Source organism: Homo sapiens, chromosome 4, assembly GCF_000001405.40.
Source record: "Homo sapiens chromosome 4, GRCh38.p14 Primary Assembly".
Lineage (NCBI taxonomy): Eukaryota > Metazoa > Chordata > Mammalia > Primates > Hominidae > Homo > Homo sapiens.
The window spans coordinates 101,949,516-101,971,248 of NC_000004.12; the positions used below are offsets into that span (position 1 = coordinate 101,949,516).

Here is a 21,733-nt window from a genome sequence, read left to right on the forward strand (position 1 = left end):
GCGCACTTAATGAAATATTACGTAAAGCTCTTAGTATAATTCCTGGCATGTGGTAAGTTTTCAATAAAACTATTATTTTATTGTGTATGTAAATATATGTTAAACTCTGAAATAATGTTTTGAACAACAGAGAACAGAATTATCCCTTAGTATGGGAAAAGAACATACTATGCCTCTATTTTCTTATCTACATGAAAAAGTAATAAATGTACAAGATCAACATGTTAGATTTAAAAATATAGGATAAACGTACAGGAAAATGTTCATCAGAGTGCCTCTCATTACACAAGCACTCAGTGTTAATTGAAATTGAGCCTAAATTTCTTTATCAATAAGTACATGTCACTTATCAAAGTTACATTCTAGAGAAAATAAAAGAGTAAGAATATAACCCATAGGAGAAGCCTTGACCTATCTAAGATGACATTGTCTCAAGAGCATCTTATTGGTTTAACTATGGGCAAGGATGCCTATAAACTACATTTAGTTTAAGGAAGTAAGGGGTGTGTGTGTGTGTGTGTGTGTGTGTGTGTGTGTGTGTGTGTGCGCGTGCGCGCGCATGTGCCTACACAAATGAGACCCTAAGAAATATCATTTCTGGTGCTTCTCAGATTGCTGAGCTCCTTGCCTCTATATGACCTAATTGATAAAGTTAGCTGAAGGATATGACTGGCTGGATCTGCTGGTAGAGGTTTTCTATTATTATTCTGTTTCTACTTTCTTGCAGTAGTAGCTCTAAAATATATAAGCCACACAAGACAGGCAATTACTATTAAATTTAAGAAAGATGATTGTTACAATATACACTGTGGGTAAACGTTTGAAGAGTAAAGTAAGAGGTACTATTTGCATATAAAAGCTCTATGCAAATTCCTGAGATTCCACAGATTTAAAGAGAACTAAGATCTAAATGAATAAAATTCTTGAGAATGGAAATTATCCAGTGAGTCCTATCACCATTTGGAACATCACTCCCAGCTGAGTGCTTCACTCAGGAAGGAGACCATTGTCTTTGCATGAATTTTCAAATGCTCTTTCTTTGAAAACCAAATATTTCCAAATTTACTTAATTACAGTTTCATATTGGGAAAAATTCATAACAAACATAAAGTTTAAAAAACGTGAGTTCCACTCTTAAATGTAAGCTGTACATAATGACTTCCTTTCAAAGAGTAAAGTTTGAAGGGAGTGGTGGAGACCACCTTCACAGTGGAAAACCTGACAAACACTACCTCAGCCAGGTGATCAAAGATAAGATGAGGAATGATGAGTCATGTTGATAATATGTAACATTGATTTGATGTGATGTGATGTGTTAAAAATGGTGGCTCCACCATTGAGGTCTTCCGCCCCAAAACTCATAACCTCAGTCTAATCATGAGAAAAACATTAAGTCTCTCTGGTCAGACAATACCTGACCAGCAGTCCTTAACACTGTGAAAGTCATCAAAGACAAAGAAACTGTCGCAGACAAGAAGATCTTAAAAAGACATGACAACCAAATGTAATGTAGTATCCTGGATGGAACCTTGGAACAGAAAAAGGCCATTAGGTAAAAACTAAGGAAATCTGAGTAAAATATGGATGTTAGTTAACAGTAATGTATCATTATTGCTTTGCTCAGCATTACAAAGGTACTGTATTTATGTAAGATGCTAATAATGGGGGAAACTGGGTGTGAAATATAAGGAACTCTCTGCATTATCTTTACAAATTTTCTGTGAATCTTAAATTAGTCTAAAATTAAAAGGTTATTTTTAAAAACCTAATCTAACTTACTGCTTTGTTAAGAACTTAGAGCTTTTTTAAAAAACAGAGGAAATGTCTTTTTATAAAAATATGTACAATTTTATATTCAATAATCATGTTGTTTTTCTATTCAAGGACCATTTTCAAAAACTTTAGCCCAAACACCAGTTTACAGGGAAAAGTTAGAGATAACTAAAAACAGTTGCTTTAACAATTAACACTGAAAGCTGAAATACTTTATAACTGCATTGTTATTCCACAATACCTTGAACAAAATCTCAAACATTTTTGTAATTCAAAGGATCTTAGATTAGACTGTTTCTTTGTAAGAAAAACAAATCCTTAGATTTACTCATATATATAATGCGGATGTTTATGGACTACAATGAGAAATTAAACAAAAATGTTGGTTTTTACATTTTTTAAAAAATTTGTTTTTGCTCTGATAAACCCAAAACTGCATATGAAGCAATAGAATTAAACCTATAAATATTTTGGGGGAGTTTCCTTCAGCCATGTAGCTTAAATTAAATAACTATCAATATAAATAATTTTGATTTTTAGTTTTTATTTTTTGTACTCAGAACCCATTTAGATTTATAAAACAAAAAAAATAAAGAATGTGTGCTCATAAGTAGAAAAATTTGAAACTTGTTTAATCATCCTTGAGCTCAGTTATAGCAAGCAAATGGCCACATGCTGTTTTACTATATTTTCTTTGATAATAAAATGTGTGCCTGATGGATGATTTTAAGTAACTATCTGGTTGCTAGGTCATGTACTCATGGCTTTTACCTATTAATAAATAAATAAATGCATAAATAAATAAATAAATTGCAGAAATAAATGAAGTATTAGAGTAAGTCTTCACTTGATGTTGTTGATAGGTATTTGGAAACTGTGACTTTAAGCAAAATGATGTACAGCAGGTCCTTGAATAATGTCATTTTGTTCAATGTTTTGTTGTAACATTGTTGAGAAAAAAATAAAAATGGCTTGGTTATATGTTTTTTCGCTTAAAGTAGCAATTTCCAAGACCCTTTTGACAACATTGAGAACTTATTGTAAATCAAATCTAAGTAAGCCTTTGTGTACTAGAAATGTTCTAATTACTGTGACTACCTGTGTTTATCTTAAGAGTGAAGTTTTCTAAAGACAAGAACCATCTCATGCATGCAATAGATTCTCTGCTGTCAATGGAAAATAAAACTTAAGCGAAAGGACATTTATATTTAGTAATTCAATAATTGTTACAATGATCATAGTTATAACAATAGAAATAACATTTATTGAGTGCTTGGCATATGATTATAATTTGGTAAAACATCCATTATATTGTAGACTCCAAGAAGACAGAAATTTAACCTAAAACATTGGCTCATAATAGGTACTTAGTAAGCATTTGTCAAATAAATCAATGCCAGACCTTGATTACGGCAAATCCATGAGGCAGGAGTCGTATGCTGGGCATATTAGCAAAAGAGGCATGAGAGCTGTTAATAAACTTTTTCACAGTTAAGAAATGGCAAAGTAGATTTTCAAATCCAAGACTTGAGTCTGCGCCCTTACCACACTCCAGCATTGCCATGTCCCTTTCATGCCAGGAGATAGTAGGATATAATTAATGAAACAAAACCAGTAATTTTGACATTACCAGCTTTTTTTCTGTCGTAATAACCAACGGAAAATAACAAATACCCTTGCAGTAATGATTAACGATCAGTGAGAAGAACTAGACAAGGGCTTTTGCCGACATCTGCACCAATAGAGGACACCCTACACCTATGTGAACAGGTGAAATGGTAAGGGTAGAGGCGAGTCAAGGTTAATTCTTACACCAAGGCTGAGATGATGGAAATGAAATGAAAAAAGAAATTGTATTACTTGAAACTTTGCCATGTGCAAGAACCCTGGAGGTGATCGTGCTCTTTCATCCATAAACTTGATGTTTATTTAGCTGACAGCAAAGATAGCATAAATAATAGGTAAGTAGTGGACGAAATGTTCCCAACTGTTTTTTCTCCATCTTTTGTCATATTTCTAGATAATGCCTTCTACAGAACACTTAATGTTGAAACAGTGAACAAAAAGCAATTTTCCCACAACTGAGGCATCTCTGTTCTTGATCAGTAAATATCAAAATTAGTAGATGGCAGAATTGCATGGAGAGAACAGACTGTCTTGAAGAAATATGTAGAACAAATTATGCTAGTACTTGGAAATTTTGCAGCAGACTTGCAACACTGTATCATTGCTTGTTTTCTGGATCTATTTAGTAAAAAAAAAAAAATCAAGTGTTTCAAAGTAGGGTGCACAAAAAATTATGATGCTAAGTATCTTTCTGCTAGCACGATTACCTCCCTCCCTGACTTGATGCTCACTTCACTGATAGTTCAATTTTCATATGAATTTGTAAGTTGTGACTTTTCTATTAAGTGCAGAAATTGCCTTCTGGAAATCTCATGGTCTCAGTGATATTTTAACTAAAACCCCACTGAGTCATGAGCCTAAATTTTATTGTCAGTTGATATGTTTTGTGAATGATAAGATAGTACATATATTGCATATTGTGCGTAATATTTCTTGTACCTCCATTTATCTTGTACCTCTTGCCTTCTGTATTTGTTTTCTAGGGCTGTTGTAGCAAATTACCACAAACTGGGTAGCTAAAAGCAACAGAAATTTGTTTTTTCATAGTACTGCAGGCTAGAAGTCTGAAATCAAGGTGTGTCTGCAGAGTTTGTTCTTTCTGGAGACCCGAGGAAGAATCTATTCCTTGCCTCTCTCCTAGCTTCCGGTGGTTGCCAGTAATTCTTGACATTCCTTGAATTCCAGCTGCATTGCCTCGGTCTTCACAATATGTTTTCCCTGTGTGTATCTCTGTGTCCGTGTCTTCACAAGGCTCTCTTAAAAGGACATCAGTCAATGAACTCAGCACATTCTCATCTGGTATGACCTCATCTTCATTTGATTACATCTGCAAAGACTCTATCTTCAAATAAGGTTACATTCAGAGGTACCAGGAATTAGGACTCCAGCATACCTTTTAGGAAGAGACAGTTCAACTCACAACATGTTGGTCAGGAAACCTCACTTAGTAGAAATAATCAAGGTGATTTTTATATTCTGGAATAGTTAGTGTTCATTTGTGGAGTCCTGCTCTTCACATTTAGCAAGAAGATCAAATCTAAACGAAGCCAGGTAAACATTAGTAGGCCTAGAAAAGGTGGTAGTAAACCCCATGGTACCAGAACTCTCTTTTGTTAAGCAGTCAGCCAGTGAGGTGATTGGATTGATGAGGGAAGAGACATGACAAGCACTTGGAGGGCTGGCATGCTGACAAAAAAAATGTACCAAGATAATAGTAGGGAAAAATATATACCCAGGAGCTTATAGTCATGGAATTTTGTGGATTGTTCTAAGTTGATTGTTACCACAGTTTGCCAACATGCCATCATTTTTGTAAGTAGAATTTTTGAAAACCATGTGCAATTACTGAAACATAAGTATTTTATGTAATGCTACACACATTGAAATTACAAAGGGAAGAAAATTTGTGGTTCACCAAAAAGGAATCTTTTACTGCTAGATGAGACAGCAGTTTTGAGCACCTTAGGAACATTTTCCAAATTTTTGTTCGTTTTTCTCAGAGAGCAAGGTATGGCTTGTAGAGGCAAACATTAGAAATATAAAGGTCAGTGATAGGTAAGCATGAGTTAAATTAATTAATGAAAAGAAAAAAACCTTTCTTAATGAAAGATTATGTTCATGTGTTAGTTCTGTGGGCATAAGCTGTGCAGTCCTCATTTACAACTCATAAAAGCTACAGTGACAGGTGCTGTAGAAAGGGGATGATAGATTAGCTGTTGCTCATGCGAGCAATGAAGCAGCAAGAGAGAGCACATTAGACCAAGCGAGCAGCCAGAAACAGCAATAAAATCATTACTAAAAGAGATGATACGGTTAACATGGGAATATATATCTTTCTGGCACTGGCATTGTATTTACTGGTGTACTACACATTCAAATAGATTGTTCAAAAGATTCATTTCTGGATTGAGATAAGAAAAAAGAAATTTATCAGGTCTTAGACTAGATCTCTTTCTTGTCTCTCAGTGTTGCTGACATAACTTGATTTTCATTTCCTAGTGCAGTTTAGATGCCCTTCCTTCTATCTATAATACTGCCACATAGTTAGAGCCAGTGTCTTTTTTTTTCCTTTGATGCCATGAATTTTGCCACTTAAGTTGTTATTCCATCATATAAAACAAGACAAATGATGTCCTGTATATTATTCTACCATCAACCTCTTGAAAGATAATGCAGCATAGTTATGTAACAGGAATTTGATACTCGGTTTCTTGCTCAGGGGAAAATTGTCTCTTTAATGATTGTTTCCTTGGTTAAAATTATTGATATAAGATCATTGACATTTTTGAGTTGTAAAATTCTCCAAAAGTCCCATGTAAAAACCTATATTTAATGAAAAATAAGCTACAAATTTGTTTCATAGTAACTTAACTTTATGATTATGAGTCTGTGCTTACATCCAAGTTCCATCAATTAGCCATAAATGTTTCCTGAGGCACAGCACTGTTTTTTACTCTGTAAAACGAGCACAGTAGTGTAGTGCTTATTTATATCTTGTTGTGGAGGTTAAATGAAATAATTGGAAATAATTGATGTAGAACATACAGCACAATATTTGTATAGTGACTACTCAGTAACTTTCAACCCAAAAAGAAAAATAAAATATTTCCAAAATAAGTGTTTTCAGAATAACTCCTATAGATTTTTTTAGAAAATGCCACTACCCTTTTCATTAAACGTAAGATTATTTTAAAATAGAGTTTTCTATGTGATCTTTTGGAAATACAAAAAAAATATAATTTGGGACTCAAAACAAGGAAGACTGCTCCTTGACTATGTTTTTTGTCACTGGATTGTTTGAGCAAAGGCAGGCAGCCACCTGTTGGACTCCTGCATGGAAAAAAAGTGAACTAAGTGACCTCTACTTCCTCAAGGCTCTATCCTGTATTTCCATGGAAACCGGGCATATCATTTTGTTTCTTATCATGTCTTTGCCTTCAGAAAATTCCCACTATGCAGGCAATTGTAATACTACCCCATTTTGTGTTTTGTTTTTTATTCTTTTAAATTGTGGTTGCAAACTCAGAGCAGAGAGTTAAAATAAAAGATCCTCGCTCATCCAAAAGTCCTAGACATCATCTATTTCAGGCAGTTTAGGCAGTCCCCTTGGTAATACCCTAACCTCTAAAAGCACATCACACTGGTAACAGATCTAGAATGTAGCACTTGAGGATGATATCCAGACTTGGAGAAGCGGCAGGCTAACAATGAAGCTTAAACTCTCTGCTTATCTGGAGAGGAAACCAAGAACATTTCAGCACTCATCCCTTATCCTCAGTTCCCACCTTGCTCTGCCTTCCTGCCAATGTAGAACAAAGAGAATAAAAAAAATGCTCCCTTGAAATTTGTAATGAAACTGATTGATCATTTTGTTTGTTTGTTTTTTCTCCTCTTAGGCATAGAATTATATAGAAGGGAGAAAGCTCAGGGTCCTCATAGTACAGATAGAAAATTGACAATTTAAGGAATGCAAGTGAATTACTCAACATCAGATAATTTAAAAATAGGGTCCTTGCCAGAACCCAGTTTTCATATCTTGATCTTGCCCAGGCCTTGCTGCCGCTCAGTACAAAAAGATTATGCCCATCATCTCCTTCCTAAGTTCCTACGACCATTTTTATTTTCCTATGATAGTATAGCGAGTGAATCCATTCCCTTCTATCAGTTATAAGCTTAATTTCACCAGAACACATACTAATGAGAAGATACAGAATCTCCTTTAGTTAACGCAAGAAATGCCTTTGCTGATCTAACCTGTCTAAGCTATATCTCTGCATTTTACCTTTCTTTAGGTTAAGTAGTATGGCTACCTTGGTCTCAGCTGTTCATCCTTTCCCTCCTTCAGTCTCATAGCCACTCTTTCAGGATTCCATAGACTGGGAATATTACTACTTAGCTGTCTTACCTATCTTCCTATGGCCCCTAGCTCCTGTTACCTACCATTGAAACAGGCTTTATTCTTCTAAGAAGCAAACTACTGTCTTGTGATTATTTGGGGCCTACCAGACACTATCCTCTCTCAGAAGAAGCCACTATTTGGGTAACACACAGCCTTTTCTCGATTGAGTTCTCGTCTATGAGTCCACAAAGACTCACAAGCTTAGGGGAAGTTTATACATCATCAAGAAAATACTGGTTGGACTCATCCTGGAAACTTAGAAGGGAAAACTCTTGGGACACTGACCTTCCACTTTTTGAATATTTCCAAATTATATGAAAAATTTGAAAGTGTTTGCATTTTCCACTTAAAGAGAGAAAAAGTCTTGAATTTTATTTAATGTATTAAGCTTTGGTTTGAAGATCCTGATGCTGTAAGCATAACTGGAAACACAAACTTTGAAGCCAAACTTCTTTCTCCACTCTGTGTTTGTGAAAACTATCTTTAGGTTTGTTGTTGTTGTGTTTTTGTTTTTTGTTTTTTGTTTTTTGCTTTTTTTTTTTTTTTTTTGAGACGGAGTCTCGCTCTGTCGCCCAGGCTGGAATGCAGTGGCCTGATCTCAGCTCACTGAAAGCTCCGCCTCCCAGGTTCACACCATTCTCCTGCCTCAGCCTCCCGAGTAGCTGGGACTATAGGTGCCTGCCACCACGTCTGGCTAATTTTGTTTGTATTTTTAGTAGAGACAGGGCTTCACCGTGTTAGCCAGGATGGTCTCGCTCTCCTGACCCCGTGATCTGCCCACCTCGGCCTCCCAAAGTGCTGGGATTACAGGTGTGAGCCACCGCTCCTGGCCTAGGTTTGTTATTTAGGCGTCAATGTTTGTTTATACTTAACCATCTATTTATTATCTGATATGTGCTGGACACTAGGCTAGGTGTTTGATTTACTGAATCCTTACAGTAATTCTGCAAGAAAGACACTACCATCCCCATTTTATAGATATTTTTTTAAATTGAGACTCAAAGTTGCTACACAGTTTTCCAAAATGGAATAGTAAATTAAATAGCTGGGATTTAAAAACAAGTCTGAGATTAAAACCCATGCCCTTTTTACTGTCATGCTACAAACACTTTTTTTTTTTTTGTCTTTGCTTTGCAGACTGCCCCCCATGCTTTTTTTTTTTTTTTTTTTCTTAAAATATTTCTTGCTGTTTGTGATAGTTGGATGCCAGCTTGGCCCATCTGCTGCTATTTTTCCAGAATTTCAAAGGACTACTTTTCTATTCAAAGACATACTTCATCATTTCCTTAAAACATTTATTGTGCTCACCTGGCAGTGATCACTCTACTATGGCCACCTTGCCGCAAAATGAATTCTGATGAGCTAAGCATGTGGACATAAGGATGTCAGCAGGATCCCATGCAATTGTGTGGATAATGGATACTGACATCCATCCTCTCTACACATGCTCTTCTCGGCAGAGTTCTTGATGCAGCAAGTGCTGCTTTGCTGCTAGCACAGTGGCTGCAGTCCAAAACTCTAGTGGTAGACTGAATGACAGTGCAGGTATTTTGGGAAACTCTTACACCTCAACTAGCTGAGAATATAGATGATCAAGTATTTGAGAGGATTATGTGAAAGCTTTACGTGTGTTGATAATTTCACTTTGGTGTAAAAAACTTGCGGATGGTCCTGTAAAATCAGCTCTCCCATATGGATTCATGATTATAGCAAGAAAGTTGAAGGCAGACACTATGCACCAGGAAAACCTTATTTCCAGCTGAAGATGTTTACTTTCAGTACTAAAAACTATTATTATTCTGCTTCCTAGAGAGTAGTTTGTTTGTTTTTGTTTTTTTTTTGAGACAGAGTCTCACTCTGTCGCCCAGGCTGCTGGAGTGCAATGGCGCAATTTCAGCTCACTGCAACCTCCACCTCCTGGGTTCAAGCAATTCTTATGCCTCGGCCTCCCAAGTAGCTGGGATTACAGGTGCCTGCCACCACGCCCGGCTAATTTTTGTATTTTTAGTAGAGAAGACATTTCACCATATTGGCCAGGCTGGTCTCAAACTCCTGATCTTGTGATCTGCCCTCCTCGGCCTCCCAAAGTGCTGGGATTACAGGCGTGAGCCACCATGCCTGGCCCTAGAGAGTAGATTTCTGAGGTTCTGATGTATACAGACAAGGAAAATTGAGATAGGACATCTATTTGGAATTTGAAAAATTCAACTATAGCATGAAAATGCCAAGGCAAGGCTAAAAGTATAACGAATAGTGGCAATATCCATGCAAAGATTATAAAAGTATCATAAGTAATTTCTCTAATATATTCACCTGTGTTATCTGCAAGCACCTTTAGCAATAATTGGAAAGGCAGTCTTACTGGTGAGTTAATCAAATGTGGTCAGTCAGTCTACAGAATAGAAGTGATGCCTGCTCTCCCAGGGTTTCTTTGATCAAGGCTGGAGGAGCAGAGATTCATCTGTCATGAGCTACGTTGACGAGAAGAAATTGTTTGTGGCTAAACTGCTATATAATTTTTTTAAAAAATCATGAATTATGGTTTAAGTTGTCAGAGAATTTAAAGTTCTATATCCTCTGTCCCAAGTAGCACTCAGTGTCATTTTTAGAAAATGTGGTCATTACCTTCCCTGATCTCATCCTCAAGCGTCAGGATTCTGACATTGACCCATTTACGTTAGAACAAGAAGGGACTTGAGAAATGGGTGGGTGCACTCCTTCACTTTATGGAAGAAAACATGAAGTCCAGATGAATGATTATAGGCAGATCTAGAAATAAAACCTCCAATTCTCATTTATCATTCCTTTTATTTAAAAAACTAGGAGGGCATTTTTACTGGAAATCACCAAATTACCATAGTCTAAAAATGCAAGTGGAATTTATTAAGGGACCCCTGGGTGCACAGCACTATATTCACTTGTAAGGAAAATGGATGAAAAAGGTTGGGTCATCATGGCCCTTCTGCTTAAGGACCTTATTCTATACTCAAGGTAGATGTAGATAATTTACAGTCATATACAAGTTAAAAATTGATAACGTAAGATTAAAGGCCAAAAACAGTAAGAATGACTGGGCCACTGAGAGACTTTTGTCACTTGGTTAAGAATGCTAGAAGTCACAATGAATTCTTTATTGATGTGTGTTTTTAACCCACAAGTAGAGTGTTTGACAATTATGCAGCTAATTATTTAGTGGGTAGTGGGGAACTAGAAAGATCTGAAGTGGCTACAAGCTGAGATAACATGCAATGGAGAACTTAGTAGCGGGCAAGCAGAAGGAAAGGGAAATTGTTTTTAACTGTGGTGAAAGAACATGGAGATGGTTAGTGGCATCTGTCTTCCTCATTTGATTCAAAGCTTTCTTTTCGTTGTTTCGTCTTGCTTTGCTCAGACGTACCAAAACTTCATGAATCAGTAAGCAATTTTAAAAGCATAACTATGTGCTATTAAGTCACCAACAAGTTAAGTAACTGTTCAATTAATCCATATATGTAAGGAGCAAAGACTGAGAGTAAAGCAGCAGGATTTTTAGCTCCGCCTCTTCTACTAACAAGTTCTCTGATTCTAGGTAAGTCACCTCTCAGGTTCTCAATTTTTCCAAGATGGAAGGAATTAACTAGATGATCACAAAAGCCTTTTTTTAAAACCAACTTACCTCCATCTTTCTGACTTGAGAAGCAAGAGAAAAGGAGTTAATATTAGTCAGATGCTGAAAATATGTAAGGGGAGGAAATGATGTCCCCTCTAAAATCTCCTTTCCCAGTTTTTGATCACTGATTTAGGATTACATGGAAAAACATTATTGGCCAGTAAATGCAAATAAAAGTATTGAGTGGAAGATATCCAGAGATGAAGCTAAAATCTTACATAATGAACAGAATTATATTGAGATTCTATCATCAGTGTACAATATTTAAGGAAGTTTTGATTAGTGGACACACATGTTTAATAAAATGGTGACAGTGACATCATTCTTGTGAGAAGGAAAAGTTAGCGTCAGCCATGTCCAGACTCTCATGTTACTGACTGAGCCTATTATGCTGAGTTGCATCCTTATTAGCTTACTCAGCCACTCCAGGGAGTCTCACACATGAAGGGCCACTGGCACTAAGCTGCCAACTTGGAAAGGACTTGACAGATTCAATTCTCTGATGAGTGAAATCATATTTGTTTTGGTCATTCTCCTTTCATTTAACTGAGAACATTTCCACTTTTCTTAGAATCTTAATCCTCCTCATTGTCAGTTTCCCTGTTTTTCTTGTGGTCACATTGGTTTTACTGTCAAACTATTATTTTTTAGTCGTTTATTTTAAGGCAATTCTACAGCAAATAAATGAAATTTTGAAAGTCAGCTTGCTTTAGGTGAAGAAGGAAACCAAAGGTTTCAAATAGATTAGAGAAATGTATCTCATATCATTTATGTTCTTTACTAAAGAGAGAAAGTAAATACAGCCCTTTCAGTGCTATTTAAAATATTGTCATCCTTTGCCTTACCCTTCATCTCTCAACTCTGTCCAATGGGGTCCCTTAAGGATGGGGAGCAAATTACCCTGCTAAGTGTTATATTGAAGTGTTTACTGAACACATTAGAAAATGTTTAGGTAGGCCTGTAAGTGCTTGCTTATATAAGTTCAGTCACCAGGAATAATTTCACTGTCACTGCCGTTTCATTCTTCTAATTTCAGTTCATTTTTTTCGTGCCTCCCTGGTGAAATAATTAGAAAGGTTACAAAGCAAGTTGGAGATATAAATCAAATGTATAGTGGGGTGCTATCACCCACTCCTTTGTAATCTGTCTTTTCTTATCACACATTCCTGGAGATTGTTCTCTCACAAATTATCAATAACTCTATGTCAATCACCTTTGCTCAGATTTCCTTCTGAAGAACTTCTTTCCTTACCAAGTGACATGGTTCAACCCCTTCAGACTCTCCATCTTAGCCCCACGGCATCATGCAGACCAAGTTTTCCCCCATTGACTCTGATTCTCTGAGTCTTTATTCTTTCCTGCCATTCTCTTCTTGCCTAAACACAGGCATTGTCAAATCTTTTGCCTTTGGGCAATATTTCTTTTCTGTTTTCCCTTCCACTGGAAGCTCTTCCACTGTGATCAAACTCTCATCTTTATGTAGATGACCCCAAATATTCATGTTTCCCAAAATCTCCACTGACCAACAATTCTCTTTCAACCACCTGCTTAACAAATTCATCAGTCTGTTCTATTGACATTTTAAAATGTAGTTCATCATCTTCAAGCCAACTGCTTGCTCCCCTTTCCTTCTTTCTTTTACTAGTTCTGCTATTTTCCCTGTCATCTGAAGTTGAATGGTTACTTTTGAACTGTCTTTGATTCTTGTGTATTTCCACACTAGCCTTAACCAATTAAAACCATGCTGTAAGGAATATTCTGCGATATACATTCGTTTCTATTTAAATATATGGTCAATATATTTTTAAAATATATTTTAGTGGTTGTATAGTGTTCTAGTATGGCACTTCCTTTAATCTCTTGTTGGTATATATTACATGGTTTCCAGACATTTTTTAATTAAAAGCAATGCTACAATTAGGTCATCATTGATATATGTATTTGAAATTGCTGCATCTAAAGCTATTAAGAGTTAAATTGTGAGCATACTCTCAAATTAAGCCTCAAAATGTACAAATTTGCTCTTGTTCCAACAGTGCATTTGTTATATATACATTCTCTGGTAATTTAAAATATCATTTTGTGTCCCAACATATATGATGATTTTTTAATTGTTTTGGACTTGCGGTATATTTCCATTGATCTTTACTAAGATTTTCACCAGTGCCATACAATCTTATTTACTGAATTTTATAGCATTTTGATATCCACTTAGGCATATCCCCTCCTATTAGTCTTTCTTTCCAAAAGCTTCATGGCTATTCTCACACTTCTATTCTCCCAATAAAAGTTGGGCATTTCTAAGACTGTATAAGTTCTCCTGCACTTACAACTACCAATTAATATTTGTATTTACCTGTATTAAATTTACATATTTTGGACATCATTACAAAATGAAATCTCTCCATTTGGAAACAAGATATTTATCTCTCCAATTATTTTACTTGTTTTAACATCCCTGAATAATATGTATAATTTTCTTCATTTCGGCCTTGGACACTTAACAGAATCCTCTCTAGCAACATAGTTGTTTACACATATGCCATTTTTATTATATTTTCTAACTGGGTATTAGTAGCCAGCTTTTGATATTGCCTGTTTAATTTTAGATTAAAGATTGGTTGTGTGGATCTACCACTCAACCAAAGTGTACTATTTATTCATTAATTCATTTAGGCTTCCATATTTTGCATTATAAGATTTCTGTGTTATTTTAGTTTGAGATACAATGCTTTTCAAACCATAAGCACAACAGAAACAATTTTCACTTCGAAAGAAACACATCTTCAGCCAAATCATTTACCCGAGGCCTTTTCTCGCACCTGGTACTCAATTGACCCTCCTGTATCTGTGCACTCCATCCACCTGAAAGGCCTTTCCTTCACTTTTTCATTTCAGTCTGCCAACAATCTGTCCATCCTTCAATTTCTATCTCTTCCAAAACTACTTTTCTGATAATCTTAACATCATTTTAGTTTTTCCTCCACAGAAACCTCCTCCTACATTGACAGCTCCAATAGCATTTTTTTGTGTGTGTGCAAATCATTTGATGTGAACTGTTAAGACTGTATATGAATTGGAAGTGGGAACTATCATTTTGTCATCTTTATATCTTCTGCAGCATGTAGTGCTGCTTCTTCATATGTTGTTGAAGAGCTCAATATATATGCTTTTATTCAATCGAATATATCAAGTCTGGAGCCTAGAATCTTAGCTAAGGGGTTTCATTTTCTATTCATTGCATTGCTCTGTATTAATAATGGATGGACTAAAGTTTGGTGGGCCATCCGTCACTGATGGGGTCAACAGAACATGGGGGAATTGGCTTCTTATGTGCTTATAAAACATGCTATTTCATTTCTTCCTGACGAATAGTACTGCCACTTTGCCCTAAACATGCACCATCCCACAGCCCCACAGAAACAACAGAATTCTGAAAAAAACCGTAACTGATCTATAGAACTGGAGTTGTAATTTCTTTCTTTTCTGGCTGTTAGAATGTCCTACTTTGGGAAAAAAAGTGTTCATTTTATTTTTATAATTTAATTTTATATTTTATAGGTACATAATGTTACTTTATATTACAGTTTTAACTAGCATGTACCTTTAAGTTCAATTATGAAACTTACAAAATCCATTTATATTAAAAGCTATAACAGGGTGTCATTTTTCACAAAGGCTCCTTATTAAATGACTTCTTTACTGAAATGACTTTTTCTTCCTCCTTAGGGATGGAGAAGCTCAGCTATTTTTTCCATTAAAGATGAGATTAACTTAAAATAAATTAAAGAGAAGTATTCTTTTTTATTATTATTATTATACTCTAAGTTTTAGGGTACATGTGCACAATGTGCAGGTTAGTTACATATGTATACATGTGCCATGCTGGTGTGCTGCACCCACTAACTTGTCATCTAGCATTAGGTATATCTCCCAATGCGATCCCTCCCCCCTCCCCCCGCCCCACAACAGTCCCCAGAGTGTGATGTTCCCCTTCCTGTGTCCATGTGTTCTCATTGTTCAATTCCCACCTATGAGTGAGAATATGCGGTGTTTGGTTTTTTGTTCTTGCGATAGTTTACTGAGAATGATGATTTCCAATTTCATCCATGTCCCTACAAAGGACATGAACTCATCATTTTTTATGGTTGCATAGTATTCCATGGTGTATATGTGCCACATAAAGAACAGACACACAAAATACTGACCTATTCCTATGTCTAATATTTGAAATCCCTCTACCTTTTGATCTGCACTTTTACTCAAAAACAGAAAGAATTTTCGATCTGAAATGATAGGCACTTTGAAGTCCAGAAGAAACTAAATGCCTTTTACCACTCTCCATTGCAATATGTCTGCATTTATAACCACCTAAATAAAAAAAAAAAAACAGTGACACAAAACTAGTATACAAACTACTAGGCCTGGACTCAAGCAAATGCGACATGCAGTGTTATAAACCCTGGATAATGTTAAAGCCTGTGTCTTCTTAATTAAAGAGTACAGTACCATTAGAAAAAAGTTTATCTGATATCTAAAGAGTATTTCAAACTGGTTTTATTTCTCGTAACCTTTTGTTACAAAACAGCATCTTGGCTAAGACACTGAAAAAACTAGGCATACATCTCTGTGAAGCCACACACAATGCCTATAAAGCCACAGTCTTTATGGTGTGTGAACCTCAAGTCTCAGAAAGTAGTTCCTATTATACCATAGTATTGTGGAACTTCTCTGCAAAAACCACAGCTCTCATATTAGTTGGACATTCACTGAGGTAGGCCTAGATGCTTGGGTACCACTGAGTTTTCTGTTTGCCAATATGTCATATATATTCCAGTAATTCCCAGTTGTTGTACTGATGTAGCCTTTCTTCAGGAATTTTCATTTGATAATAGTGTGAAACATGCTAAACTAGGCACTTTGAACTAATTCATAGCCTTATGATATTCAGGAAGCTTTGATAATCCTCTTGTCCCCATGGGCAATGTCTGTTCACTTTGTGGCTTGCTGCTTAACCAAACCCAAATGAAGTTATCAACATAAAATGCCATGAGAACATTTGTTTTATCAGAAGCCTTTCCTAACATAAGGTTACTGTTCTTACTCATTTGTTCTTCTGTTCTATTAGATTGGCTTATTGATTTTTAAAAAACAAATTTATTTTTTGTGAACCACTTCAAGGAGGCTATTCAAACACAGTATCTGTAACCATTTCCTTAATGGCTTATGCTACTTTTCCTTTTTCTAACAAACATTTTCTCCATCTTCCCCTCCTCTTCCTTCTTCCTTTTTGCAAAATAGAGGACAAGATTTAGGGAAGCTTTTAAAAAATACCTGATTTTGGTTTTAGAAAATTTTTATTAAGCCTCCTTTCAATGCCAGGGAGCAAGGCATTGGTTTGTTATCTATGAAAATAATAGTTGGACCACAAGTGTGTCATTTGATTGTCAATAATAATAATAATAAATTATTGAATCTGGTTGTGATAGACATCTTGGAGAGTAGTTAATATAGAGTATGGTTAGTGCAATTTTTGAGTTTTTACAGGCTTCTAAAAGGGTAAAGAGGAAAAAAGCAAGTAGCTTGCCATTTGTTTATCAAGGACTTATGCCTTTTAATTCAAAGATAATTAATTAGACTTTGATTTAGAAATAGATTGGAACCTTAAATTATCGTTGACTATTGCTGCTCTCAGGCACATTTCAAACTATCAGCCACCTCATGCCTTGGCTCCCAAGTGAGAATAAATCACATAAAGACAACTTCAAGGATAAGAAATATTTACCATTGGCCAGGATGAGAGACTTGGGATTTGTGGGCTTAAGACCCATAGTCAGCTCAGGAAGCAGCATATCTTAGCCTAATGTTGGTAACACCTGGATTTCAGTACATCTGACTCCCACCCAAGGAGGCTGCTGAATACACAGCTTTTCTGTGACAAACTTTCTCTAAATCAGAATAACAGTGCTTATTCATCCAGAAGGGAAATTATTAAAAGTTGTCACAAGGAAAACAAACATTTCCCAAGTGTCCTAAATGAACCAGAAAGCATTCAAGATAGTTTTACTCGTTAGTCCAATTTATTAATCGTTAATTGAGCACTTACTGTATTCAAGGTAATACGCGTACTGCTTTTAGGAGAAATAAATGAGTGGAACTGAAATGTTGCCATCAAAGGGGTCGCAGTTAAATGGGAGTCATGTTTTCTAAGCAATTACTGTGTGTGACACTGTTTTGTCTTTTGCATGTGTCAACTAATTTATTCTAACAATAGTCATATGACATCAGTACTATTGCAATTCTCATTTTATAGATGAGGGAACTGAGACATAGACAGTCCAAGAAAATTGCAAAGGATATTAAAAAATTTAGATCCAGGATTCATGCCCAAGTTTATGGCTCCAGAATCCACATCACAGTCTGTTCTGTCTCTAGAGAAAGAATTATAATGGGATGGTGTCTGTGTAGAAAACTTGAAAGGTACAGAGCAGCACATAAAAGAGAATAATAGATTTAAACAAATTGAGAAAGGGGGTGTGGAATAGGTATTTAGAGAAAATAAATATATGGGAAGTTCAGACAAAATTACATTCAATTCAATAAACCCACCAGGTCTCTGTAATTTATACTAACTTTGTCGCTTTTTTTTACTGAAAAAACGATGCTCTGAAGGATTTAAGGTCACACAGCTCATATATAGCAGAATCAGGTTTCATATCCCAGACTTTGTGAATTCCACTCTTACATGCTTCTTCTTTTGGATTAAACCTTAACTTAATTATTACTCCCAAGAAAGGACCAATCTGAAGTAGCAAGTATAAAAGGTAACATGGGAAATAAAAAGAAGAAGAGTATTAGAAGAAGTGAGGTTGAAATTAAACAGCCATATGGAAACAAAGGACTTTTAGGATGACTCAGAATAAGATTCAACAGCATAAAACTTAACTGTTTTCAATCAACCAACTGCAGTAACATAGAATTAGAAGAAACAAGAGATGGGAAAACTCTGACCAAGTCTTGGCATAGAAGGAACAGGAATCTCTAGTAAGTGAGGGAAAGCATATTGGTCTCTGAAGGAGGGAAGAAAATGTGCACAGAAAAGTGAACAATGATTTCTTATCCATGGAAGGTACCCACAGATGATAAGAAGAAATGCCCACACAGGAGGCTACAGAGGGGAGAGGGCGGGGCATTAGTTACTCATTGAGTCTTACGTCAAAAGATTTATTTACTGTAATTTAGATTGTCAGCAAGAAATAGCTTGATTTAACCTTTGGGAAGGGAATGTTATATGACAAATGTTAAAATAAATATATAAGGAAGCCACAAAATTGCTGGGAGGCATTTGCAGAGAAACTGTTAAACAGCCACAGGACAAAAATGGCATATTCAATGTAGGCATAGAAGATAAAGAACATTGTGATATGTCTGCTGAAATGGCACTCTAATATTTCAGACTGTCCAAAGGAAGTTTCAGATAGATTTGGGTCTACATAGAAAAATTCAAGTGTGAAGTAGAGTTGTACAGAAAACTTTTTTTTTTCTAGTGTCTGAAATGTGGTCTCAAAGGGAGGTGTAGAGAGGAGAGTAACAATGCCCCGTTGGTTGCAGTTAGAGGGGCAGACAAGTAAGAAGGTGATGGGTGGGGCTCTGCTCCCAGAGAACGAAAGTACAAGGGCACTGCTGAAGAAGGAAATGAGGCCAATTGAAATGTGAAATGAAATGTTTTAAAACTGCAGGGGACTACAGAGAAAAAGATAAAAATTAGCAAGAATTCTTCCCTCATGTATCATACAAATGTTAGAAAATTTCTTATGCAGGAGGTGGAGAGAGGGAAATCCAAACAAATAGATACCTTACTCCTGAGAAGAAAACAGAAAAGTTGACTGCAAAATAATGAAAGACTATTTTGAACATGATGTGATGCTAAAATGTTATTGAGAATGGGAACACCCAAAGGTGATGGTGGTAATACAGTCTAGATGAGAAACCATGTCCCTTTCCCAGACCTTTGTTAGTTTCGGGTTTCAGAAAACAAAGAATGCTGTTGTGAGATAATGGCTGAGATCTGAGCTCATTGGAAGGAGAGTCGTCTCTACCATAGACTCTTCTCAGTATGCTTTAGTATGACTTGGAGCTTCTTGTATTTGATAAAGATTGGATGCTGTGCCTCCTCTGGGAATCAGATCAAAACACAGAGAACAGGGTCAGACCAGAGTCCTGAACTATAGCTTTCTCTATACCTGACCTTGAAGAAATGGAAAAGCAAAGATCTTTTTTTTAAAAAAATCAAACTAGAAAGCGAAGTCATCTGAAATACTTAAGGAGTTCATACTATACCATTAGCTATTATAAGTGAAATGGGAAGGAAATTGTGTCTCTGGCTAATGAAAATGCCTAGGCAACTAATTATGAATTAGTTTAAAAGTTTGCATAATGAGAAACACTTGATAAAAGTGAAGTTTCAGATATTATTTGATTAATGTGCATAGCCAAAAGAGTCTTGATAAATGTTACATAAACTAAGAAAAATTTTGGTTAGTTATTAAAAGTTTTGGTAATTTTATAACAACACACTGCCTTCCATTCCAAAGTAAAATATTTCCAAATCCCTAAAAGTTTCTTTGTAAAAAAAAAAGTTTACTGAGGAAAATATTTATTTGAATAAAAAATGACCCTCTCACTAAATTTGCTGTCCAAATGTATTTGGGATAAGTATACATGTGCAGATGATGTCTAGAGAATTATAGGATGAATGAAATGGACACCCTATTTGTTACTATGGATAGACTGGAAACCAATCTTCCTCAGCAGGGAGAGTAGTGGTGTTCCCCCGCTCCACACCAGCAAAGCAAATGGTAGGAGACCATTTCAGATTTCCTCTTTTCAGGCTAATTTTCAAATAAAATTAATATAATCAGAGATCAGTAAAATTATTTATTATTTTCCAATGAAGGCTTCCTATAGGGAGTGTGTATTTAGGACCCATTATTTGTACAGAATGGTTTTCAATGCCACAATAGTTTCAATCAATAAGATACCTGTTTTGCCTCTGCAAAGTCAGTAAGACAGTCTTGAGTTTTAAAGGATTTTACCAGCTGCTTGATCTTGGGTAAGTTATTTCACCTCTCTAATCCTCTGTTTCCTCCTCTAAGTTCCCATCATTCCAGCTGACTCTAGGTTGAACTTTTTATTGAATTCCTTCTGCGTGTCAGGCACTGTTATCCCAGAGGACTGTTGTGAAGATTCGAGGCGCTGGCGCATAGTACGGATTCAATAGGTAGCTACTATTACCATGGATATTGTTATAGTTAAGCAATTGAGACGAGTGTCAGAGTAATGCAGACAATAAATGGAAAGTTGAGGAAAGAAAGTTTGGCAATTGCATAATGAACTATGGTTTGAATATTTAGGAATTACCTGTAAGAATCAGAAGTGGGAAAGTTAAAGTAACTGTGAAAAAGTTTCAGAAATGAGAAATCCCCAATTTCTTTCATCAATTTCTTTCATTTTATTCTGTCTTTGTCCTATCACCACCACTCTCCTGGAGGGGAGAGGAAGCAACAACAACCAAACAGCAAACAAGCTTGGACGTAAGATACTCTTAACTTTGTTTCAGATGAACATTCACTTTAGGAAAGTCGTGTTAGCCTGCACAGCTTGGCATGATAATTAAATAGAAAATGAGAAAGGCTGCAGTGGATGTCAGCTCACTCACTCATAGCCTTCCAGCCAGTCTCCACAGTCCCCACTGGGAAATCTGTCATGACCCTGTCATGCTCCCCAGATAGATGTTTGCTTAGAGAAAACCAAACATCTGATAAGGGAAGATCAGTAGAATCTGGTTTTATGTTCCCTAGGGTCAACCCAGAGTGAAATATAAGAAGTAAACATGATTTCCTTAGGATTTCAGCTATGATCATTTAAAAATTTTCTGTTTAGCAGGATTCTAAACATACAGCCCCAAGTAACTGGCCCGTTGTTTGTCACACTTGTGTCATAGCGTGCAGGCGTGTAATGAGGCTTCACAGATGTGCTGCCAAAGATGAATGACCAGGTGGAATGTTGGGATGAACTCTTCATGCAACATAATTTGAACTGTACTATGAATTAAGAAAAGGAAATAGCAAGAAATATAGCATAACTTAAAGGTGTTACCTGATAAACTTCGAGCTTTCTCAGTATACAGATCACTCTCTGGGCAATAAATAATGCTAAAGGACAATTAAATATATTAGGGTGAAAACTAGATGCATTTATAAACTCCAGGGGATACTGAGGTATTT

The 21,733-nt window shown here is 36.0% G+C and overlaps 1 protein-coding gene across 3 annotated transcripts in view, besides 2 other annotated features; it reads left to right on the forward strand.

Annotated features, from left to right (window-relative positions):
* The window catches only part of BANK1 (B cell scaffold protein with ankyrin repeats 1), a 284,083-nt gene that overhangs the window by 158,786 nt on the left and 103,564 nt on the right, over positions 1-21,733 (forward strand). The window lies entirely within an intron of this gene.
* Positions 4,289-4,839: an enhancer, noted in NCBI's record as "OCT4-NANOG hESC enhancer chr4:102874961-102875511 (GRCh37/hg19 assembly coordinates)". NCBI's record gives its function as "activates a minimal SCP1, AML or CMV promoter by ChIP-STARR-seq in naive and primed H9 embryonic stem cells {active_cell/tissue: H9 hESC(naive and primed)}" and the evidence as "EXISTENCE:reporter gene assay evidence [ECO:0000049][PMID:30033119]".
* Positions 4,417-4,711: an enhancer, noted in NCBI's record as "tiled region #773; HepG2 Activating non-DNase unmatched - State 24:Quies". NCBI's record gives its function as "activates a minimal TATA promoter and a strong SV40 promoter by Sharpr-MPRA in HepG2 cells {active_cell/tissue: HepG2}" and the evidence as "EXISTENCE:reporter gene assay evidence [ECO:0000049][PMID:27701403]".